The sequence below is a fragment of the Homo sapiens genome, chromosome 15 (genome assembly GCF_000001405.40).
Source record: "Homo sapiens chromosome 15, GRCh38.p14 Primary Assembly".
Classification (NCBI taxonomy): Eukaryota; Metazoa; Chordata; class Mammalia; order Primates; family Hominidae; genus Homo; species Homo sapiens.
This window is the reverse complement of record NC_000015.10, coordinates 58,125,607-58,149,998: the sequence shown is the minus strand read 5'-3', so window position 1 is coordinate 58,149,998 and position 24,392 is coordinate 58,125,607. Positions and strand designations below refer to the sequence as shown.

The 24,392-nt window shown below is 40.2% G+C and overlaps 1 protein-coding gene across 3 annotated transcripts in view; it reads right to left on the bottom strand.

The window, feature by feature from the left end:
- Positions 1-11,830, bottom strand: part of AQP9 (aquaporin 9) — a 47,743-nt gene extending 35,913 nt beyond the window's left edge. For 2 of the 3 annotated variants that reach the window (NM_020980.5, NM_001320635.2), the window contains exon 1: positions 11,323-11,618. In NM_020980.5, coding sequence (NP_066190.2) covers positions 11,323-11,433 — 111 coding nt within the window. In that variant the 5' untranslated portion in view covers positions 11,434-11,618. Of the gene's footprint in view, positions 1-11,322; positions 11,619-11,717 lie in introns of those variants that run through there. The other variant, NM_001320636.1, reaches the window with a different exon arrangement.

The following is a 24,392-nucleotide window of genomic DNA, read 5'->3' as shown; positions in this document are numbered from 1 at the left end:
TACCATGGTGATAACACACCTGGGCTGGGATGCAGTCCTAGCTCCTGGAGAAAGCATCTGTGGCTACCATCAAAGGAAGGACTGCCTATAGGCAAAACTTTGTCTAAGGTGGTGGCCATAGTGTTTCCAAAAAACACAATCCCCATTCTTGAGAAGGGAGTCATTTAGGGCTTACCAGAGGCTTCCCTGCTCCTATAAGTTTGTAACTGGAGAGGAAGGAGAATCCATGGCAATCTGTCAGCACAGCACTCTCTGCAAACCTTGGCCCTCCAGCCTGTGCTATAGGTGTGTGTTAGAGAAGTCCCCCATCCATCCTACTCCACCTGTTTATTCCCTCCTATTCAGCTTATGTGACTATAGCCTTTTGAACATATGAAGATAACAATAATACCAATAACAACTAATCTATATTGAGTAAATTTTGTGAGTTGAGCACTTTCCATGCATTAGCCCATCAGTCCTCACAATGACCTATGACTAAGGCTCTCTTTCTGTCTCCATTTTACAAACTAGGAAACCAAAGCTTAGAGAAGTTAAAAGAATTGCTCTCACATTCCCATAAGTGGTACGTGCTGGGGCCAAGGTTTGACTGCACATGATTTTGACCAGCAATAGGTGAAGGAGGAAACATTCACATGGCATTTGCGCCATGGTGAGGCACTCTCACGCACTTTACTTCTGTGAGTCCTCCCAATACTTCATCCCCAGTTAAAAACTGAAAGTCTGAGTGACTTGATACAAGACCTATATTGCTAATAGGTGACAGTTTCTGAATCTGGAGCCAGATTCTTTCATTCCCATCCCAGTGTTCCTCCTGTGACAACTGCTGCTGCCTCTGTGGGTCAGCCTGTTTCCTTTATTAGCACAGAGTACAGATTTATGCACAGCTTTCCTGTCAGTTAGTTTTCCAATTGCAAAATAAAACTTTCTCAGTCATAACAAAAACAGTCACAAAGAACCAAGACTGAAACCTGGATCTTCTGGCTAAAAATAAAATATGTGGTGGCATGCAGCCTGACAGAATATCAGGAAGAGGTCAATCACCCAAGAACCAGCTGTACTTGAAAAGAGGCGATATTAGGGCAGGCTCATAAAAAGAGAGGAATCTGCAATTTGAGAGCCAGGTGAATGGGAACATGGCCAGCCTCAGTGCTCTCCAAGTAGAAAAAAGCACCAAGAACCAACTCAGAGCTCAGAAAGGAGAGGTGATTGAACTCCACTATCTCTACTGGGCTGAAAAGAACAATGCTCTCCTTTTCTGACCTCACCAGGCATTCACATCCCTCAACTCATCCCAAATGCTGACCTGGATGGGAACTTGATCACCATCCCAAGGACCAGAATAAGAAATGAATGAAGCATTTATTAATTAAGTTGTGTTTGCATCAGGATAACTGTGACTCTGAGTGGGCTGTGTGTGAGTGGGGGTTGCTGAGGACAGTTCTCCCTCTACCCACAGGGCCCAACAGTGCCAAGGCCGCCTCTTGTCACTCTCAACCTGGGAGATCTCTGCATATGGAGGAGTTCTGAGGACTGATGTGTTTCCAGGGTCTGCAAATCTCAAAGTATGTTTCACAGATCATTAGTTCCATTAGATGCTCCTCAAAAAAGGGGTTTGTGGTTAAGTAGAGCTGAAGACAGCTTTACATTCTGTTCCCCTCTTAGAGATTTACAGAGAACATTAAAGGCTCTGATAATTCCTGCAGTTGAGAAAACTGCTTATTTTGGTTTAACCCAGTGTTTCCCAAACATATTTGGGAAGGACCACATGTATTTTTTTCACTTAATTCTTGTTTGCATCTTTTGGAACTAGTGTTTTTCAGAACAGATTTTGAGCAACTCCCTACAAAAATGCTTTGAAAAGACATACTCTACTGGGTGAGCTCTCTCATGGGGAGGAAGGGGGTGAAGAAAATACATATGAATATGTACAAGTTTTTAAATTTCAAAAGGGTATACTATAAAATATAAGAAATGTGTTTCCTTCCAACCCCAGATTTTAAATATTATTCTCCACAGGTAACTAATATCAATACTTCCTGGTATGTTGTCAAAAAGTGTGCATGTGCCTCTGTGTGTGTGCATGTATATGTGTGTGTGTGTGTGTGCATGTGTTTATACAGGTGAGGGTATTTAACACATACCATTTCTGCCTGCTTTTTCTACTTGAATAGCTTAGAGTATTTTTGTATTAGCATGTAAACCTTCTATTTAATGGGTAAATAGGAGTCTTGCATAGATGCACCCCCATTTTTTTAACCAATCACCTGTTGATAGAAGCATAGGGTTTTCGGGAGGTACTCTCATAAGAAAGCTTGAATTTCCAGAAAGACTCTAAGGCATGTGCGCTGAGAGGGACTAAGCCTTCAAGTCGTTTATGGTCTTGACTGACTGTTCTAGGCTCACATCTTAGCATGACCAGCCAAGCTACTGAGATGGAGAAAAGGGCAAGGGGCAGGGCCGGCACACTTTGCTGGCATAGTTTCTCTTAAATCACTTGCTTTGCTTAGAAGTTTCAGTGAACTCAGCAATCCTGCCCCAGACATGAAATTAGATGCCTGCTGGAGGTATAATGGGCACCTAATTTCTTCACGGTTGAACTGCTTCAGCCATTTGAACCATCTGTGGGTTGTTAGGTCACTTTCACAGGGCTGATGAGTAAATAAGGGCCAACTTCTGCTCTCATTAGTATGTTTTCCTTTCTCGTCAAGTAATGAGAACATGTTGCAATGGGATTCGTCACTAAAGAAAAACTGACGAAACCCACTTCTGGAAAGTAGAAAAAAAAAATACTTCCCCTTTGAAAGTCAATGAAAACAGTGAGTTTTCTGGGTAAAATTAAAATTCACAATCAGAAGCAGAATCCTGTTTGGCAGAATCAAGTTTGGCTCCAGGAGTCTGCAGCCCTTAGATCAGTGATCCAGAACGGACTTTTCTCCCAAGCGCCTTGAAACTGTAAGATTTCCCAGGTGAGCCTGGTCCTCCACGTTCATTGCTGATAGGGGGAAGTCTGTAGGAAAATTCTCCCTCAGCTGCTAGTGACTCAAAGTCTAAGGATGTCAAAAGAGCTGGCCTCATTTGTAGGAAGCACGAGGTCTCTTAGTCATTTACGGTCACAGTTGGGAGAAAGGTCACAGAGTGCCGTTCTTTTGGGAGAGTGCTCTTCAACAGGCACCTGCATCCCCCAGGCTTCTCTTTTCAGTTTGCCACTCCACAGCAATCATTTCTGGCTGGCGGTATACCTGGGGAACCCAGCAGAAGCAAATGCAAACCTGCTCTGGAAGAACAAATCCACACCTTAGGCCACGTGGAATTCCCACAGGGAAAAATAAATCTCCCTGAAGAATTTATAATACAGATGTATAAAACACTAAAGGAAAAGATCCTTTATGAATAAGAGTCAGTAGATAAAATAGGCAGAATGATTCACTCCCCCGCAACTCGAGACGACAGAACAGGTTTAAAATATTATAAATATATTAGGCTTTGGTGAGTTAAGGAAATGAAAGAAATAAGCACACAAGAAAAGAAACTAAAAGAAAAAAAGAACCAAATAAAACATATAGAAATGAAAAGATAGTGAAACTAAAGACTCAATGAACGTGTTAAACAGAAGATTAGATAGAACCAAATAGGGAATTGGTGAACTGAAAGATAGATTTGAAACAGCAACTATACAAAATTCAGCATGGATTAAGAGAATAAGAGAAGAAATATGAAAAAAATGGTTGAGGCATAAAAAAATGACAGAGTCAACATGCATACCAATATAGTAGGAGTTCTAAAAGGAGAAAACAGACTGGGGGAAAGGCAAGGTAATAAAGAGGAAAATTTTCCAGAATTGGTAAATATTATAACCCTTTAAATTGAAGATGAAAAATGAGTTAAGAACTAGAAATAAATTCACCTCTAGGCACATAATAGTGAAATTTCAAAATAAAAAAACAAAGTGAAACTCTTATTAGTTACCAGATAAATTCAGATTATTAAGGACAAAAATGAGACCCAGAGACTTGTGAACAGCAATAACAGAGGCATTGGAAAAATGACAGAGACACCTGAAAAATGCCAAGCAAAAATAATTATCAACCTAAAATGTATCAGCTAATTTATCATTCAACCTTGAGCATGAAATAGACACATTCAGACAAAGACTGAGAAAGTTCATCTGTCACACACCCTTCCTGAAAAATTTTCTAAAGGAAGAACTGCAAGAATAAGGAGACAGAACCCAAGAGAAAGTAGTGGGTGTATGCAGTAATGATTAGCAAATAAACCAGTAAATGATAGGAATGCATTTTTAAATAAGCAAACAAAAATATTTATTTTAAAACACCAGTAACAACAATAATAATGAGGGAAAAATTTAAATATTAGACAACAATGACATGTAAGATAGAGTGGTTGATTGGAGTTAGAATTTTTTAAAGTTTTTGTGTTGTTCAGAAGAAAAATTGATTTACTTTAAGTTAAAAAATATATATATATATGGGTAATTTTTTTTTTTTTTTGGACACAAAGTCTCATTTTGTTGCCCAGGCTGGAGTGCTTTGGCACAATCTCCGCCTCCCAGGTTCAAGCAATTCTCCTGCCTCAGCCTCCTGAGTAGCTGGGATTACAGGTGCACACCACCATGCCTGGCTAATTTTTGTGTTTTTAGTAGAGACCAGGTTTCACCATGTTGGCCAGGCTGGTCTTGAACTCCTGACCTTAGGTGATCCACCTGCCTCGGCCTCCCAAAGTGCAGGGATTACAGGCATCAGCCATTGTGCCCAGCCTAAGGGTAAATACGTTAATAGAAAGGGCACACAGAGGAGAAAAGGCAAGAATAAAGAAAGCTGATCAACTCAATAGGAGGACATAAGGAAGATCAAAGCAGAAATTACTGAAATGGAAAACAAACTTCTTTTTAAAAATTGAAAAGAGGATGTCACCTCAGGTATAGTAGAGTTTTTTTCTTTTATCTTTTTTTTTTTTTTTTTTTTGAGATGGAGTCTCACTTCATCGCCCAGGCCAGAGTGCAGTGGCGCAATCTCAGCTCACTGCAACCTCCACCTTCCGGGTTGAAGCGATTCTCCTGCCTCAGCCTCCTGAGTAGCTGGGACTACAGGTGCATGCCATCATGCCCAGCTAATTTTTGTATTTTTAGTAAAGATGGGGTTTCACCATATTGACCAGGCTGGTCTGGAACTCCTGACCTCTTGATCCGCCCACCTCGGCCTCCCAAAGTGCTGGGATTACAGGCATGAGCCACCGCGCCTGGCCAGACCTGTAACTTTTAAAGAAATTTTTCTTGTCATCTGTCCATCCCTCTCTTTTTTCGTGCACATGCTGAGTAATCTTCAAGAAATACATAACTCCCATTTTACAAAGTGCTCCAGAAAATAGAAAAAAAGGGAAAATTTTGATTCATTTCATGAGTCTAATATAACCTTGGTAATAAAAGTAGAAAGACAACAACAACAACAAACAATGTTCTCAACAACAAAAAAAATGGTATATGAGGTAGTGCAAGTTTGGACAAACAGATCAATGGCACTGAATAGTCTAGGCATAGAACCACATATGCGTGTGAACAGGTGTATGATAGGAATGTCATCACAATCAGTGGAGAAAAGATAGACAGTCAAAACTGGCCTTGGGACAATTGTCTATCCTTGCAGACATAGATAATAGACCCCAATCCCACATCATACACCAAATAAATTCTAATTATTTAAAGACACAAATATGAAAAGCAAAATATTAAACCTCAATAAGAAAACACAAAATACCTTAATGTATGGATTTAAAATAAATATAAATATCCTATAACAATTAAGAAAAAGTAAAGTATCCCAAAGAGAAAGGTGCAGAGGCTGTAATCAGGCAATTTACAAAAGAGGCACCTAAACGTTTAGTAAATACATGAAAAGATAATCACTGCACTGGAATTGAGTACAATTACTAGTGAAATTCCATTTTTCTCTCTCTCAAATTAGCAAAATATAAAAGTTGGATGATATCAAGGATGGTTGAGTATGTGATAAATGGGAACTCATGTCGCTACTGGAAGTACAACTTTGAAATCACTTTGGAGAGCAATTTTATAATACACATAAAGTTGAGGATGCACATACCCTAGGACCACCAGGTCCTCTTCTAGGTATATACTCCAGAGAAACTCGTGAACATGTGTACAAGGAGACATGTACCAAGATGTTCAATGTAGCAGTCTTGGTGATTGTAATCAATAGTGAGAGGGCGATGGGTACATAAACCAGTCATACATGTTCCCAAATTAATAAATTTCAGAAAGTGTCTCTGGGAAAAAGTCTCAAATTGGAGAAGATGTATAAGCTATGAAGCTATATATGTAAATTTTTAAACATATAAAACTATAATATATATTCTTATAGGCAACTGTAGTAAAACTTCAAAAGCATATATTAGAATGTTAACTGTAGCGTGGTTAAGAGAAACTGGAGAGATTTGATTCTAATCTCAGCTCCACCACACACTTGCTTGTGGTCAAGTGACTTAAACATACTAAGTCCTAATTTCCTCATCTATAAAATGAGAGCAGTATCTTTACCTCATTAGATTTAGTTTAGATTTAGTTTAAGGATCAAAGTGTCTGGGGTATAGAGTATGCTTAGTGTTAACCTCCTTTGCCCTCTCTTGTCCTCGTCATCATATTTGACAGAAGACAGCCTCGAGTCTTTAAACTCTTGCTTCAAGGCAAGGATCTAAGGAGAATCCCCAGTGTTTAGCACTTCTGCATGTTCAGATTTAGAACCTCAGACGTTCTTAAAGGGACAGAACTCCCAAGTACAGAAGTACCAATCCTTGAAGGACTGAGCATTGAACATAAATCATAATAACAAGAGGCAGGTAAAACTGACGGTAGACATCCTCTGATGTTCTGCTGTGGTGGAAAGAGCTTTTGATAAAATGCTGCAAGACTGTGGGTGTCTGTTCTCTCAATTGAATGATGCAAGAGTCAGGCAACAGAGACCATCTTATTCCAAAGTTTCTGAGCGAGGGCCTGAGGATGGTGCACGACTTGGACAGACAAACCACCCACAGGCAGAATCCAGGGCACTGCTGACAGTAGGGGCTTCTGATCTAGCATCTGTTGGCCAACTGACAGCTCTAGCTCCATGTGACCCTCAGTCCTGGGCACCCTAGACTTGGAGAGATGGATGGTTTTGTAAAATAGCAAGCTAGAAGAACCAAGCATGGAGGAAACAGAGAAAGAATAGGTGGCTGTTGAGCCAGAAAGCAAGACAGAGAAGTTATGGGGTCTCTTGAGGCCCACTTTCCTATAGGTCCTTTGCTCTGAACCAAAAGAGTGGTCTTGAGGAAAAGCTAGAAAACAGAAATACTAGAGGAAAAACACAGTGCAATGCTTGGTCAATGTGTTTATCAGAGCTGAAGACATCACTGAGCCACCTCAGAACCCTGGTGTTACCTGAGGTTTGAATGTGTTTGTAGGTGGTGAAGAGATCCCAAGACTCTGCTAGCAGATCTCCTGTAAAATATCCCCACCACGATCACGTCTGTTCTGTAAAATCATCTTTTGACACTGCTAATGTATTTTAAACTGTAAACTTTGTCAAGTTCGCTTGGGCTTTCACATGAAAGGAGTTAATTCTCATCAAATGATGGTATTAGGGAATGACTGGAGTCAAGATACCAAGCCCAGCTCTTTCATTCAAGGGCTGATAAGTCTCTTAATTGTGTTACACTTGTCTCTCCATCTGGCAAAATGCAGTTGATCGCTCTCCTTTCTCTCTCTTCAGGAAACATTCAAACAGGAACGAGAATTTGGACAAGCGAACACTCTGTGCTGCTCAAGGGAAGAGCACAGTGGAAGTCCAAGGGCGAGTGTGTGCCCAGGGCAGGGCAACTGGGCTCTGGGCTGATTCCCGGGATGCATGATTACATCAGCCTGAGCTCAGCTTCTCCACCAATAAAAAGGGCCAGTGATATCTGCCCACCCTTATCTCAGAGCTCTCCTGCCAGTACCTGGGCATTCCAAATAATGTACTAGACCAAAATTGTCCTGGATTCTGCCCTGCAAAGTGGACGTTTCCTTTAATTTGGCTTATAAACTTTCTGATTTCACTCTAAATCCTGACCATAGATTCTTTTGTCTCAAAAGCTCCCTAAGATAGAATAGACCTACTTCAAGATCTGAACAAACTTTGTAATAATAATTTTAAAGCCCTAGAGTGTCTATAACCAGCATGTCTGATTGAGAATCCTCTCAAAATGGAGAGACAAACTCTGTGACCCCAGCAAGGAGGGATGATTTCTCACCCAGTCCTGGTGGAAGGTAGGAGCAGGAAGAAGGGAACACTGCAGTGTCTGAAATTTCTCACATACAATCAACCATCCCTGTCCTTCCTTCCTCCTTCCTGTACTGCCCACTCCCCTATTTCCTCCATAGTCTGTGTTCCAGGATAGTTTCTTTCTATTTCCTTCAGGGCACTGAAGGTAAAGATCAAGGGTACTACTTTTAGCAGAAGTACTTGCATTTTTTTCCATTCTAAGAGATGCCAAAAGTTAGACCTCTAATGCGGAAGCTTGACAGGGTGAGAAAAGAATTCAGCATCTGTCCGACTACACAGTATGTTATCTACTCAAAAGTCCAGCCCTGGAAAGCTGTCCTTCCACCTCAGGAGGAAATACAGCTGCTTGCTGGGTTGTTCACTTCAGCATCTTCAATAAGATGAGCTCTGTATCAAAGAATCCTGAAAAGTTTGAAGAGAGAGGAGAATATATAGAGTAGTAGGAGTGAGCATAGTCCCTGTGAGAAATGACTAGACATGACTAGAGATTCTCTGAAGTTCAGCCCAAGGAAGAGATCAGCCTTTTGCATTGCAAACTTTCCCCCCACACTAGTAAAGGTGAAAGGCCTACGTATCCCAATGACTAAAAGGCCAAATTAGAGCTAGCTTTTTGGCTTATGACTTAATTGTTGTTGGTTTTAGTTGTAGTTTATAAAGAATTTTTCATGGACCTTCTTTTCTCTTAATGCTACCAGTAGGCCTTATCAGTCCTTTATACCAACTGTTCCCAACCTTTTAGCACCAGGGACCACCTGTACCAGTCCGTGGCCCATGTGTTGGGGACCCGTAATTTATACCATGGTGTTAGATTAGTTTGAGATGCTCCCCATAAGAGCAGTTTTTGAAAGGAGGGAAAAAAAATAGAACCAGACTCCCAAGGTTGGCGGAAAAAAAACAATCTCACATATTTGAAAGACTGAGTCCTTTATATCCTCTGCCATCTTTTCGATGTTCCCCTTCCCTTTGCCTTATCAATGTACAAAGCTTTTTACTAGAAAATACAAGGCAAAATGCACATTCTCTAATAAAGCAGAAAATTACTTTGGATAAACTTTCAGCAAAACCATGTAGATTTCTTGGTTTAAAAAAATTGTGTTTGTGCAGGAACTTTTTGTTTATACATCCCCACAAGCTCCAACAAAACTGAAGATGATAATCAAGGTTGCAGATTTTATTAGGGTTCACTTTAGAAAATAAATGTATAGTATAAATGGAAATTAAATATTTCAGGAAATGACTGGCTTTATCCAGAACATACAAGTTTTAATTTTTCAACAGACAATATCAAGATGTTCTTTATTTAGCCCCTACCTTGCATAGTGGGGAAGACACAAGGCCAGTTGAACAGTGAACTGCTGAAAGCAAATTTCACTTTCAACACAGAAAGCACGGGATTATGAAACAGGTTCTTCTTAAGAAATACAGAGGGTTTTAAACTTTTTGGTTGCAAAAAAAAAAAAAAAAAGATGTGTAGTTCATTTCCTCCTCTGTTTTCTGCAGAGCACTAAGAATTGTAACTGAATTTGCTTCACTTTTCTGACTCACTCGTCACTGTGAGGCTGTAATCACTCTGTATTGACAACTGCTTCTTTGGGGCCAGATTGTCAAGTAACATGACAGAGGGGTCTCAGTCTCACTAAGAAAGATTTTCCAGTAAGCAGTGACCGGGAATCATAAGAATCACTGACTTTCATCTTCTCTCTTTTATTTCTTTTATTTTAGTTAGAAATAACTACTTACATAATGTCTTACTACATAATGTCTTGCTACATTATGACAGTGAGTGTGGTCAGAGCAGCCAGGAATGAATGCCAAGGGAAGATGAGGAGTGCAAGAAATTGTCCGTAACTCCCTGAAAATACTGTAACGAATCTGGTCTAATGTGTTTCTCAGAGACCAGAAAACTTATGACTCTCTCTTCACATTCCACTAGTTCAATTTTTTGAGTTCACATTTGTTTCTCATTCTTGGCTTAGCTGATGCATTCCAAGCTTATTCTTCTAAATTATTATGTATTTGCCCCAAGCAAAGAACTTTTAATGCACAGAGTTTATGGGCTATTCTCTATAACTTTAAGGAAAATGAAATTATTTATACCTGGAGTAGGAAATCCTTAAGCAGGATAAAAAAAACCAGTTGAAATCAATAGTTGCCACATGATAATACATTTCTATTCACAAATGGCCTGGTTCCAGGTAAAACTTCAGGATACAGAGAATGCTAGAACGTGCAGCAAAATGAAAGCCCAGACCACTTAAGTAAACTTTCCAGTCTCTTGTTAATAGCTGAGTAAATCTCTGGGCAATCCTCAAGAGGTTCTTAGAAGTCGTCCCTCGTTTATATCTAGAAGGTTCTTGTAATTGTCTTGTAAATCTCCAAAGATATTTAGAGATTACTTTGCTTTAAATAGAGACCAAAAATGACACAAAACTAAAGCTGGACTATTGCCTGGTACACTATTTCTACCTAGTGCAATTTTTAATTTCTTAAAAATCAAGTGATCTGACAGCACAATACTTGTCAAGTACTTGTCATACTGAGATGTTTCTTGCCATCCATATGTATATTTTTGCCAACTATATTTATTGACTATTGATGCTTATTCCAGGTGGCTGAGTCACCCCAATGCTTGGAGGAAGCAAGCAGGGTACAAATCAATTGATCAATGAAAACACTAACGACTGACTTTTAAATCACAAAGCCATTTTAGAGTATAAGTAAATACCTGAAATAAAGAAGGCACTTCACTCACTCCTTCTCTTCCATTCCCATCAACTTTTGTGGGTAAATGCAATAGGTAATTGAAAACTTAATATCACAACCCCTAAATAGTCAAACAGCCTCTAGTAACTTGTTTCTTCCTGGAAAAGATGAATCTGATCCCAATTAACTTAAATAAAACAAACCAAACAAAACTCTCCACTACCAGCCTGGCAGCTAGGGAGGCATTATTGGGTCTGAATGTAGGAAATCAGGAAATACTTACAATCAAGATGAACGTGCCCAAGAACTCAGAGAGGGTTTCTTTCGCTAAGCTGCTCTTCAAGACCAGTCTCTGCTTGAAGCTTTTTCCCTTTTCTGCTCCCTCAGGCTGCATCTTGGGGCTTCTCTGAGGACTCCTGTTTCTACCAATACCTACCTGTTGTGGTCCTCACTTTCACAGCCAGATGAAAATGGACGTTTTGACAATGGCTCACAGATTCCTGGAGATGTCTGGTAAGAGTCTCTGACTGTACAAATGCCGTTCCAATTAGAGGCTGTGGCTTAATCGTCTTCTGGTGGAACTGTCATTCCCTGTTCGCTGCTATTTGTTTGAATCTGCGACTTAGAACCCGAAATCCCCAAAACAATCCCTTTTGTGCCTGACAGATTAATCATTACCTTTATTCTCAAGGTACTTTTTTCTCTGTTGGTTTTTTTCAAGAGATGAGAAAAGAGATGTGCCAGTTGTGTTGCCAAATCACAGTGACGGGCCCTGGTCCAGAAAAGATTTTCATGTTACACAATTGCAGGCTTCTGATTTTTTTTTCTTCTCATTCAGAAGTGGGTGGTTGGGGTGTAGTTTGGAACTGTCAAATCAGGTGTAGATATATCCAATGTTAACATTCTTTTCTGAAAAAGGTTTTTATGCAAAATGAAGAATTTGAAGAAAATATAGATTTATCATCCTAGAAGATTAATCACTCTTGTTTTCTTCTGGTATCATTTCAGTGGCTTCATGATACCACTCTGAGGTTAGTAAGAACCACATAGGCCATCCTAGAGATGGAGAAATTAACATACAGAGAAACCATTGCAAGCTTCACACTGCAAGTCTGTAGGACAGATGGAGTCACCTCTTCGGTTATGAAACTGGGCTTCACTTGCTGAAGATACTTTAGGATCCAAGAATCAGAAAGATGGAGGAGTCACCTTTTTGGTGACTTCTGAAGTTTCTTCTGAAGAAACATTCCAGTTTGGGTTTCTTCTGAAGAAGCATTCCAGTTTGAAAATAGTCACTCTTCTTCATTCACCATGAAATATTTAGACATAATACATAGGAAATAAACAATAGCAGCTTGAAATTCTTTACTGCATGGAGATGACTGAGCCGGAAAGAGATCAATTAGCGTGTATGTCATTCTAATCAAACGAGAAAGGGAGCCAGTACACCTAACCGAGGCTCCTAGGTTATACCCTTTCAATTTGATAAATTGACATCCTTGCTGGCAAGAAACTGTGTTTGGGAGTAGCTCCTTGTCCTGCCAAATATTCAAGCCTTGTTTTTCAAAACTGGCTTATCTGAAGAAATAGAATATAGCATTAGTTTCTAAATAGCAAGGCAGGCCTAGTTTCTGATTACCAATGTGGACTCATGGAATTAGTATCCATGCTGTGTGGTTCCTTCCAGTCCTCCCACAGGGAAGCCAGCTCTGCATCAGGCCCTCCCCTAGCTTTGCAAAAAGGGAGGGAGGAGAGGACATGGAGAAAGCAGCTGGTGAGAGGCCAAAGGCAGAAGGAGACTTCTCATCTGTAGGTGACATTTAGAATTTAGACTTTAAAAAGTTATAACCTGCCTGAGGCCACACTACTGCAGAACCAGGACAAAACCTCAGCACTTTGGCTTTAATTCCTGATGAAGTTATCATAAATACCATTGTCTAGAAGAGTTACCTATGACCACACCATTACCAAGTCCCAGTGGATGGACCAGAGAAACAGGACTTTCTTACTGTGACTACAGCTAATAACATGCAAGAGCGTTCTCTGGTCTTCCCATTCACTCATCTAACAACTATTTACTGCACACTCATTATGTGCCAAGCACTGCACTTAACAAGAGCACATAGGGTTCTTGTCCTTCACAGAGCCTAGAGTCTAGTGAAGCAGACAGATGTAAGTGAAATAATCCCACACACATAAATACAAAATCACAACTGAGATGTATGCTGCAAAGATGGGGGCCATATTTCCATAAGCAAATATAGCAAAAGGATTTGACTTTGTTGGAGAGATCTCTGATGGCTTCTCCAAGGAAGTCATGTGTGGACTGAGATCAGAAAGAAGCATGGGATTAACTACATGAAGTGGGGAAGAAAGTGCATGTACAAAGTCCTTGGTGGCTTTGGGGGTAAGGGGTAGGGGACAGCATGATGCCTCTCAAAGAATGAGAGAAATTTACTGTGGTTGGCCCCAGAGAGAGTGAAGGAGTACAGCATGCAAAATGAGCCCTGAGGTGTGGGCAAGGGTCAGACCTTACTAGGCCTTGTAAGTGGTAGTTAGGGCTAAAAGTGTAAGTCATTAAGGTGGTTTAAGCAGAAATACGACATGATCAGATTAGAGTTTTGAAAAGATCCTCCGAGCTGTGAGGTGGAGAGGGGATTGGAGGGGGCTTGGAATGGTCATAGGCAGATACATTTGGGGGTATTACAGAATTCCAGAATTGGGTGGTAGTTTGACAGTGGAGAAATGGAGGGATCCAAGAGTTCTTTATATCTTAAAATTGGAAGAATTTCATGGATTAGATGTGGGAGATGAGGAAAAGAGACTGAGAAAAGTTGGTTCCTGAGTTCCTAACTTGCTGGGGAAGGTGCTGCTGAGCCCTGGGAGAGGAAATCCTGGAAGAGGACCAGAAGTGCAGTGGAAGATCATTAATTCTGCTTGTGCAAAACTGAGCCTCAGAGGCTTCTGAGCGATGTAAGTTAGGAAGTGATATGGGTCCAGATGAGGAAGGAATGTCTGTGTGCTCATAGTGGTGATAACTGGAGCCTGGAGTAAAGAGGCTCCCTAGGGAGAGAGTTTGAAGAGAACTGAGAGTTTGATATGGAACATTTCATGCTTAGGTAGAGGAGGATGGAATCTTTATTATTTCTGTTTTACTACCTTCAATTGACAGTCACACTTCTCACCTCCATCACCACGAACAGCTCATCATCAAACATAGCTTACTCATACAAAATATTCACTGAACAAAATGTTCCAGCCACCTAACAAAATGTTCAAAAGCATCTTAAGAAGGTAAGCAATGAATAGTATTCCTCCTTTATTCCATCTGGGAGGGAGCCTTTGTCAAAATACCCTGACTCCAAAGTTCTAACTGGAAGCATGAGGAAGCTTTTAAATTTCATTCACTCAGAAAAAGTTTTCATTGAATATGTACCATGTGTCAGGCACAGCATTAAGCAGTGGGAATTTAAAAATGAAAAAACAAAACCAGATCTCTATTATTAAGGAATTAATAGTCTAAGTGACTAAGATGTCTGAATGAATACACCATAGAGTAGAATAGAGTTGTAAGCAAGATACTGAACCAAAATTTCTGCTGTCACCATAGGAACATCTGAGAGCTAACTCTGCATTTGCCAACATGCAGAGGAAAGAATGAGTATGGTGACTGCTGTCAATGGTTCTAAAGCTGATGAGCTTTCCTGGATGCACTGCCATACTGATTCTCCAGGGCTGGCATATGCTGTTCTTTTATTAATAGTTCCCTTGGCTCTGCCCCTTCCTATCTTCTCTTCTCCCCAACATTCTATTCTGTGTTTATCTACTTTTGCCTTGGGTAACCATCTTTGCCTACACTCACGCAATCCCAAGATAGAAGCCTGGTGTTTATAAGTATAACCGCCTCTCACACCCTGACCTCACTTCCCCTACACCTCCTAATTCTAAATTCCAGTCCCTCAAAGCCTTCCTTTCCACCTAATTATTACCTCATGATTACCCACGTTAATGAAGCGCTTCCCAGCATCTCAGGTTCCATTGACCCAGTGATTTTCTTCTACACCCATGTTGCCAAAGCCCAACTCTGGGTATGCCTAACCATCCATTTTTTTTTTCTCAGACTTTCTCTTCCCTGGCTGCTAAATGTTGCTGAAGAAAATCATAAATGTATTGATTAACGCTATTGCAGATAATTGTGATATAGCATCAGCAGTGGCCCCATGTTCTTAGTTAACCTTTTATTTCCAAGTTTCCAGATTTTAGCATGCACTAAAATCAGCTTCCCTCAGAGACTGATTCTGTAGATCTGGGATGGAGCCCAGGAATCTCACAAGCATACTTGATAATTCAGAGCCGATTCTTTGCCCAGCAGCAACCACATACTCTTCTATGCCTCCAGCTCACAGTCCCAACCCTCCCACTCAGATGATTACTTTTTTCTCCAAATCCACTGGGAAAGCATAGGTTTCATTGACTGTAAGTCCTTTTATGCCCTTACTCCTAAAAAAATTGCCTTAGTTTTATATATGTTATCCTCTTTTCCTTTCCTTATTCCTACCGTTTGGCCCATGTTAATGTTCTATTCCAGCCCCTCTGGAACCCAGGCCAATCAACATTCCCTTCACTCTCAGTCTCTTTCCAACACTGGCTTTCTCCCACCACCCCAGGACCAAAACAAACACAGGTCTCTCTAATACTGAAAAACATTCCTCAAAGTTGTTTCACTCCAAATTACCATTTTGTCTGTTAATATCTCCTTCACTTTTTTCTTTTCCACCTGAGGAAGAAATAACCTTTTTCCCATGAGTGTAAAATCATATTACACTGAAAAAAATTAGAAGTATTTAAATTAAAATGTTAAAATTTCTTATAATCCCTGTCGTCAGAGATAACCATTATTAAAAGGTTGGAATATCGGCAGAATTTGTTTCAGTAGGCTGGGCATGGTGACTTACGCCTGTAATCCCAGCACTTTGGGAGACCAAGGCGGGTGGATCACCCAAGGTCAGGCATTCGAGACCAGCATGGCCAACATGGTGGAACCCTGTCTCTACAGAAAATACAAAGATTAGCCGGGCATGATGGCGCATGCCTGTAATCCCAGATACTCAGGAGGCTGAGGCAGGAGAATCACTTGAACCCAGGAGGCGGAGGTTGCAGTGAGCCGAGATCGCGATCGCACCATTGCACTCCAGCCTGGGTGTCACAGCGAGACTGTCTCAAAAAGAAAAAAAAAAAAGAAAAAAGAAGAAGAGTTTGTTTCAGTAGATCTAATAATATATAAGTATCTATTCTTTTCTTCACTCGAAAAATAGGGTTATACTACATTTACTGGATATTTTTCCCACTTAAAATTTGCTGTTTAGCCTTCTATGCCAATGTAAACTTCATCTTTCTAATGACTGTGTAATATTCCCTTGTACAAATGTGCCATAAATTAAACAAACTCCTTTTGATAGGCAATTGGTTGTTTCCAATTATTGTTCATTAAAACAACTCTGCAATGAACAACCTTGAGAATCTATATCTCTTAGCATAACTTCCTAGAGTTGAATAATTAGAGTATGCATATTTAAAGTGTGTTAAAATATCTGTTTTCTCATTTTCTTTAATATCGGGTAATTGAAATGTATTAAATGTTTTTCCCAATCTAACAGTTAAAAAATATTGTTTTAGTATGTATTCCTTTGGCTAACAGTGAAGTTGAGCATCTTTAATGCATTAGCTATTTTTTATGTTTTATTTTTATGTCCTCTGCCTACTTTTCATATGTAATGCTTAGTTTTTATTATGTTGTTTTAGCTCTTTATAAGATATGAATATAAGTCTTTTATTTTTCAGATGTGGCATGTCATTTTCCAGTTAGTTATTTATCCTTTAACTTATGATGATGCTATTTAATTGCAATATAGAGATTTAGAAAATTTTATGTACTCAGTTCTGAAACCTTTTTCTGTATGGTTTCTAACTTTGTTATGTGTGCTAAGAAAGACCAGCACTATCCCAAAATGACAAGAATATTCAAATTCGTCCTATATTTTATTCTAGTATTTTTACAGTTTCATTTTTATATTTAAATCGTTAATTTTTCTAGAATATATTTTGATGTATAAAGTGGGGCTCTAATATTTTTGCAATATTTTGATCTCTTATATATAAAAACTTCCCAGAAGTAAAATTGTTATTTTAATACCTTGCCTTGCTATATATTTTAATGACTTTCTGGTAGATCTCCCCTCATTATTTTCAAACATATATTAGCTAGATGAAGTTAAGAATCATTTTTTTAAGTTCTATCTCATCCCTGCTATATGGATAAAGTTATAATATTGAGTTTTCATAACCAGAAATACAGTCCATCTGTCCATTTAGTCAAATCTTCTTTATGTCCTTTAAGTTAAGATACATTATTTTCTCTGTTGTGTCTTCCAAATTCTTATTAAGCTTATTTCTGGGCATTTGATATTTATTTGTATTTATTTTTGAAGTTAGGTTGAGATCTCTTTTTTTATTCTATTTTCTAACTGATCATCACGAGCAAAACTCTATTTCTGTGTGTATATCTTCTATCTGCCCACTATAATGAACTTTCTTTATAGTTTAAAATGGGTTTCTAGTTGATATTGTGGTGAACATTGTTAGTTTTCTACTTGGCATCTATTAAAACTTCTTTCTAATAGACCAAGTTTTCGTTTAAATATCTGACTTTCTGGCCAGGCGCAGTGGCTCGCATCTGTAATCCCAGCACTTTGGGAAGCCGAGGTGGGCAGATCACGAGGTCAGGAGATCAAGACCATCCTGACTAATAGGGTGAAACCCCGTCTCTACTAAAAATATAAAAAATTAGCCGGGCATGGTGGCAGGCATCTGTAGTCCCAGCTACTCGGGAGGCTGGGACAGGAGAATGGTGTGAACCCAGGAGGTGGAGCTTGCAGTGAGCGGAGATCACACCACTGCACACTCCAGCCTGGGCGACAGAGCTAGACTCCATCTCAAAAAAAAAAATCTGCCTTTCTTTTTATGCAACTGTGGGCTTCTGGTGGAAGACTGACCACTCTCAGATGTAAGGGTAAACACTGATTAGTCTAAGCCTACCAGAATAAATTTCCCACCCTTGAAACCATGACAGGTTCAGGACAAATGTGATTTATTTATTTAAAGGCAATACCTCTGTGTGTCATTTAGTAAGTTTCTTTTTTTTTTTTTTTTTAATTATACTTTAAGTTTTAGGGTACATGTGCACATTGTGCAGGTTAGTTACATATGTATACATGTGCCATGCTGGTGCGCTGCACCCACTAACTCGTCATCTAGCATTAGGTATATCTCCCAATGCTACCCCTCCCCCTCCCCCCACCCCACCACAGTCCCCAGAGTGTGATATTCCCCTCCCTGTGACCATGTGATCTCATTGTTCAATTCCCACCTATAAGTGAGAATATGCGGTGTTTGGTTTTTTGTTCTTGCGATAGTTTACTGAGAATGATGATTTCCAATTTCATCCATGTCCCTACAAAGGACATGAACTCATCATTTTTTATGGCTGCATAGTATTCCATGGTGTATATGTGCCACATTTTCTTAATCCAGTCTATCATTGTTGGACATTTGGGTTGGTTCCAAGTCTTTGCTATTGTGAATAATGCCGCAATAAACATACGTGTGCATGTGTCTTTATAGCAGCATGATTTATAGTCATTTGGGTATATACCCAGTAATGGGGTGGCTGGGTCAAATGGTATTTCTAGTTCTAGATCCCTGAGGAATCGCCACACTGACTTCCACAATGGTTGAACTAGTTTACAGTCCCACCAACAGTGTAAAAGTGTTCCTATTTCTCCACATCCTCTCCAGCACCTGTTGTTTCCTGACTTTTTAATGATTGCCATTCTAACTGGTGTGAGATGGTATCTCATAGTGGTTTTGATTTGCATTTCTCTGATGGCCAGTGATGATGAGCATTTTTTCATGTATTTTTTGGCTGCATAAATGTCTTCTTTTGAGAAGTGTCTGTTCATGTCCTTTGCCCACTTTTTGATGGGGTTGTTTGTTTTTTTCTTGTAAATTTGTTTGAGTTCATTGTAGATTCTGGATATTAGCCCTTTGTCAGAAGAGTAGGTTGCGAAAATTTTCTTCCATGTTGTAGGTTGCCTGTTCACTCTGATGGTAGTTTCTTTTGCTGTGCAGAAGCTCTTTAGTTTAATTAGATCCCATTTGTCAATTTTGGCTTCTGTTGCCATTGCTTTTGGTGTTTTGGACATGAAGTCCTTGCCCACGCCTATGTCCTGAATGGTAATGCCTAGGTTTTCTTCTAGGGTTTTTATGGTTTTAGGTCTAACGTTTAAATCTTTAATCCATCTTGAATTGATTTTTGTATAAGTTGTAAGGAAGGGATCCAGTTTCAGCTTTCTACATATGGCTAGCCAGTTTTCCCAGCACCATTTATTAAATAGGGAATCCTTTCCCCATTGCTTGTTTTTCTCAGGTTTGTCAAAGATCAGATAGTTGTAGGTATGCGGCATTATTTCTGAGGGCTCTGTTCTGTTCCATTGATCTATATCTCTGTTTTGGTACCAGTACCATGCTGTTTTGGTTCCTGTAGCCTTGTAGTATAGTTTGAAGTCAGGTAGTGTGATGCCTCCAGCTTTGTTCTTTTGGCTTAGGATTGACTTGGCGATGCGGGCTCTTTTTTGGTTCCATATGAACTTTAAAGTAGTTTTTTCCAATTCTGTGAAGAAAGTCATTGGTATCTTGATGGGGATGGCATTGAATCTGTAAATTACCTTGGGCAGTATGGCCATTTTCACGATATTGATTCTTCCTACCCATGAGCATGGAATGTTCTTCCATTTGTTTGTATCCTCTTTTATTTCCTTGAGCAGTGGTTTGTAGTTCTCCTTGAAGAGGTCCTTCACATCCCTTGTAAGTTGGATTCCTAGGTATTTTATTCTCTTTGAAGCAATTGTGAATGGGAGTTCACTCATGATTTGGCTCTCTGTTTGTCTGTTGTTGGTGTATAAGAATGCTTGTGATTTTTGTACATTGATTTTGTATCCTGAGACTTTGCTGAAGTTGCTTATCAGCTCAAGGAGATTTTGGGCTGAGACGATGGGGTTTTCTAGATAAATAATCATGTCGTCTGCAAACAGGGACAATTTGACTTCCTCTTTTCCTAATTGAATACCCTTTATTTCCTTCTCCTGCCTGATTGCCCTGGCCAGAACTTCCAACACTACGTTGAATAGGAGCGGTGAGAGAAGGCATCCCTGTCTTGTGCCAGTTTTCAAAGGGAATACTTCCAGTTTTTGCCCATTCAGTATGATATTGGCTGTGGGTTTGTCATAGATAGCTCTTATTATTTTGAAATACGTCCCATCAATACCTAATTTATTGAGAGTTTTTAGCATGAAGGGTTGTTGAATTTTGTCAAAGGCTTTTTCTGCATCTATTGAGATAATCATGTGGTTTTTGTCTTTGGCTCTGTTTATATGCTGGATTACATTTATTGATTTGCGTATATTGAACCAGCCTTGCATCCCAGGGATGAAGCCCACTTGATCATGGTGGATAAGCTTTTTGATGTGCTGCTGGATTCGGTTTGCCAGTATTTTATTGAGGATTTTTGCATCAACGTTCATCAAGGATATTGGTCTAAAATTCTCTTTTTTGGTTGTGTCTCTGCCCGGCTTTGGTATCAGAATGATGCTGGCCTCATAAAATGAGTTAGGGAGGATTCCCTCTTTTTCTATTGATTGGAATAGTTTCAGAAGGAATGGTACCAGTTCCTCCTTGTACCTCTGGTAGAATTCGGCTGTGAATCCATCTGGTCCTGGACTCTTTTTGGTTGGTAAACTATTGATTATTGCCACAATTTCAGCTCCTGTTATTGGTCTATTCAGAGATTCAACTTCTTCCTGGTTTAGTCTTGGGAGAGTGTATGTGTCGAGGAATGTATCCATTTCTTCTAGATTTTCTGGTTTATTTGCATAGAGGTGTTTGTAGTATTCTCTGATGGTAGTTTGTATTTCTGTGGGATCGGTGGTGATATCCCCTTTATCATTTTTTATTGTGTCTGTTTGATTCTCCTCTCTTTTTTTCTTTATTAGTCTTGCTAGTGGTCTATCAATTTTGTTGATCCTTTCAAAAAACCAGCTCCTGGATTCATTGATTTTTTGAAGGGTTTTTTGTGTCTCTATTTCCTTCAGTTCTGCTCTGATTTTAGTTATTTCTTGCCTTCTGCTAGCTTTTGAATGTGTTTGCTCTTGCTTTTCTAGTTCTTTTAATTGTGATGTTAGGGTGTCAATTTTGGATCTTTCCTGCTTTCTCTTGTGGGCATTTAGTGCTATAAATTTCCCGCTACACACTGCTTTGAATGCATCCCAGAGATTCTGGTATGTTGTGTCTTTGTTCTCGTTAGTTTCAAAGAACATCTTTATTTCTGCCTTCATTTCGTTATGTACCCAGTAGTCATTCAGGAGCAGGTTGTTCAGTTTCCATGTAGTTGAGCGGCTTTGAGTGAGATTCTTAATCCTGAGTTCTAGTTTGATTGCACTGTGGTCTGAGAGATAGTTTGTTATAATTTCTGTTCTTTTACATTTGCTGAGGAGAGCTTTACTTCCAACTATGTGGTCAATTTTGGAATAGGTGTGGTGTGGTGCTGAAAAAACTGTATATTCTGTTGATTTGGGGTGGAGAGTTCTGTAGATGTCTATTAGGTCCGCTTGGTGCAGAGCTGAGTTCAATTCCTGGGTATTCTTGTTGACTTTCTGTCTCGTTGATGTGTCTAATGTTGACAGTGGGGTGTTAAAGTCTCCCATTATTAATGTGTGGGAGTCTAAGTCTCTTTATAGGTCACTCAGGACTTGCTTTATGAATCTGGGTGCTCCCGTATTGGGTGCATATATATTTAGGATAGTTAGCTCCTCTTGTTGAATTGATCCCTTTACCATTATGTAATGGCCTTCTTTGTCTCTTTTGATCTTCGTTGGTTTAAAGTCTGTTTTATCAGAGACTAGGATTGCAACCCCTGCCTTTTTTTGTTTTCCATTTGCTTGGTAGATCTTCCTCCATCCTTTTATTTTCAGCCTATGTGTGTCTCTGCACGTGAGATGGGTTTCCTGAATACAGCACACTGATGGGTCTTGACTCTTTATCCAACTTGCCAGTCTGTGTCTTTTAATTGGAGAATTTAGTCCATTTACATTTAAAGTTAATATTGTTATGTGTGAATTTGATCCTGTCATTATGATGTTAGCTGGTGATTTTGCTCGTTAGTTGATGCAGTTTCTTCCTAGTCTCGATGGTCTTTATATTTTGGCATGATTTTGAAGCGGCTGGTACTGGTTGTTCCTTTCCATGTTTAGCGCTTCCTTCAGGAGCTCTTTTAGGGCAGGCCTGGTGGTGACAAAATCTCTCAGCATTTGCTTGTCTGTAAAGTATTTTATTTCTCCTTCACTTATGAAGCTTAGTTTGGCTGGATATGAAATTCTGGGTTGAAAATTCTTTTCTTTCAGAATGTTGAATATTGGCCCCCACTCTCTTCTGGCTTGTAGGGTTTCTGCCGAGAGATCCGCTGTTAATCTGATGGGCTTCCCTTTGAGGGTAACCCGACCTTTCTCTCTGGCTGCCCTTAACATTTTTTCCTTCATTTCAACTTTGGTGAATCTGACAATTATGTGTCTTGGAGTTGCTCTTCTCGAGGAGTATCTTTGTGGCGTTCTCTGTATTTCCTGAATCTGAACGTTGGCCTGCCTTGCTAGATTGGGGAAGTTCTCCTGGATAATATCCTGCAGAGTGTTTTCCAACTTGGTTCCATTCTCCGCATCACTTTCAGGTACACCAGTCAGACGTAGATTTGGTCTTTTCACATAGTCCCATATTTCTTGGAGGCTTTGCTCATTTCTTTTTATTCTTTTTTCTCTAAACTTCCCTTCTCGCTTCATTTCATTCATTTCATCTTCCATAGCTGATACCCTTTCTTCCAGTTGATCGCATCGGCTCCTGAGGCTTCTGCATTCTTCACGTAGTTCTCGAGCCTTGGTTTTCAGCTCCATCAGCTCCTTTAAGCACTTCTCTGTATTGGTTATTCTAGTTATACATTCTTCTAAATTTTTTTCAAAGTTTTCAACTTCTTTGCCTTTGGTTTGAATGTCCTCCCGTAGCTCAGAGTAATTTGATCGTCTGAAGCCTTCTTCTCTCAGCTCGTCAAAGTCATTCTCCATCCAGCTTTGTTCCGTTGCTGGTGAGGAACTGCGTTCCTTTGGAGGAGGAGAGGCGCTCTGCGTTTTAGAGTTTCCAGTTTTTCTGTTCTGTTTTTTCCCCATCTTTGTGGTTTTATCTACTTTTGGTCTTTGATGATGGTGATGTACAGATGGGTTTTTGGTGTGGATGTCCTTTCTGTTTGTTAGTTTTCCTTCTAACAGACAGGACCCTCAGCTGCAGGTCTGTTGGAATACCCTGCCGTGTGAGGTGTCAGTGTGCCCCTGCTGGGGGGTGCCTCCCAGTTAGGCTGCTCGGGGGTCAGGGGTCAGGGACCCACTTGAGGAGGTAGTCTGCCCGTTCTCAGATCTCCAGCTGTGTGCTGGGAGAACCACTGCTCTCTTCAAAGCTGTCAGACAGGGACATTTAAGTCTGCAGAGGTTACTGCTGTCTTTTTGTTTGTCTGTGCCCTGCCCCCAGAGGTGGAGCCTACAGAGGCAGGCAGGCCTCCTTGAGCTGTGGTGGGCTCCACCCAGTTCGAGCTTCCCGGCTGCTTTGTTTACCTAAGCAAGCCTGGGCAATGGCGGGCGCCCCTCCCCCAGCCTCGCTGTCGCCTTGCAGTTTGATCTCAGACTGCTGTGCTAGCAATCAGCGAGATTCCGTGGGCGTAGGACCCTCCGAGCCAGGTGTGGGATATAGTCTCATGGTGCACCGTTTTTTAAGCCGGTCTGAAAAGCGCAGTATTCGGGTGGGAGTGACCCGATTTTCCAGGTGCGTCCGTCACCCCTTTCTTCGACTCAGAAAGGGAACTCCTGACCCCTTGCGCTTCCCAAGTGAGGCAATGCCTCGCCCTGCTTCGGCTCGCGCACGGTGCGCACACCCACTGGCCTGCGCCCACTGTCTGGCACTCCCTAGTGAGATGAACCCGGTACCTGAGATGGAAATGCAGAAATCACCCGTCTTCTGCGTCGCTCACGCTGGGAGCTGTAGACCGGAGCTGTTCCTATTCGGCCATCTTGGCTCCTCCCCCAGTAAGTTTCATATTTCCTATTATCATGCTTTTTTTTTGTTAATTACTGAGATTTTTTAAAACAGTAATGAATATTGAATTTTTATCAAATGTCTTGAATATTTAATGAGAAGTTTTCATTTAAA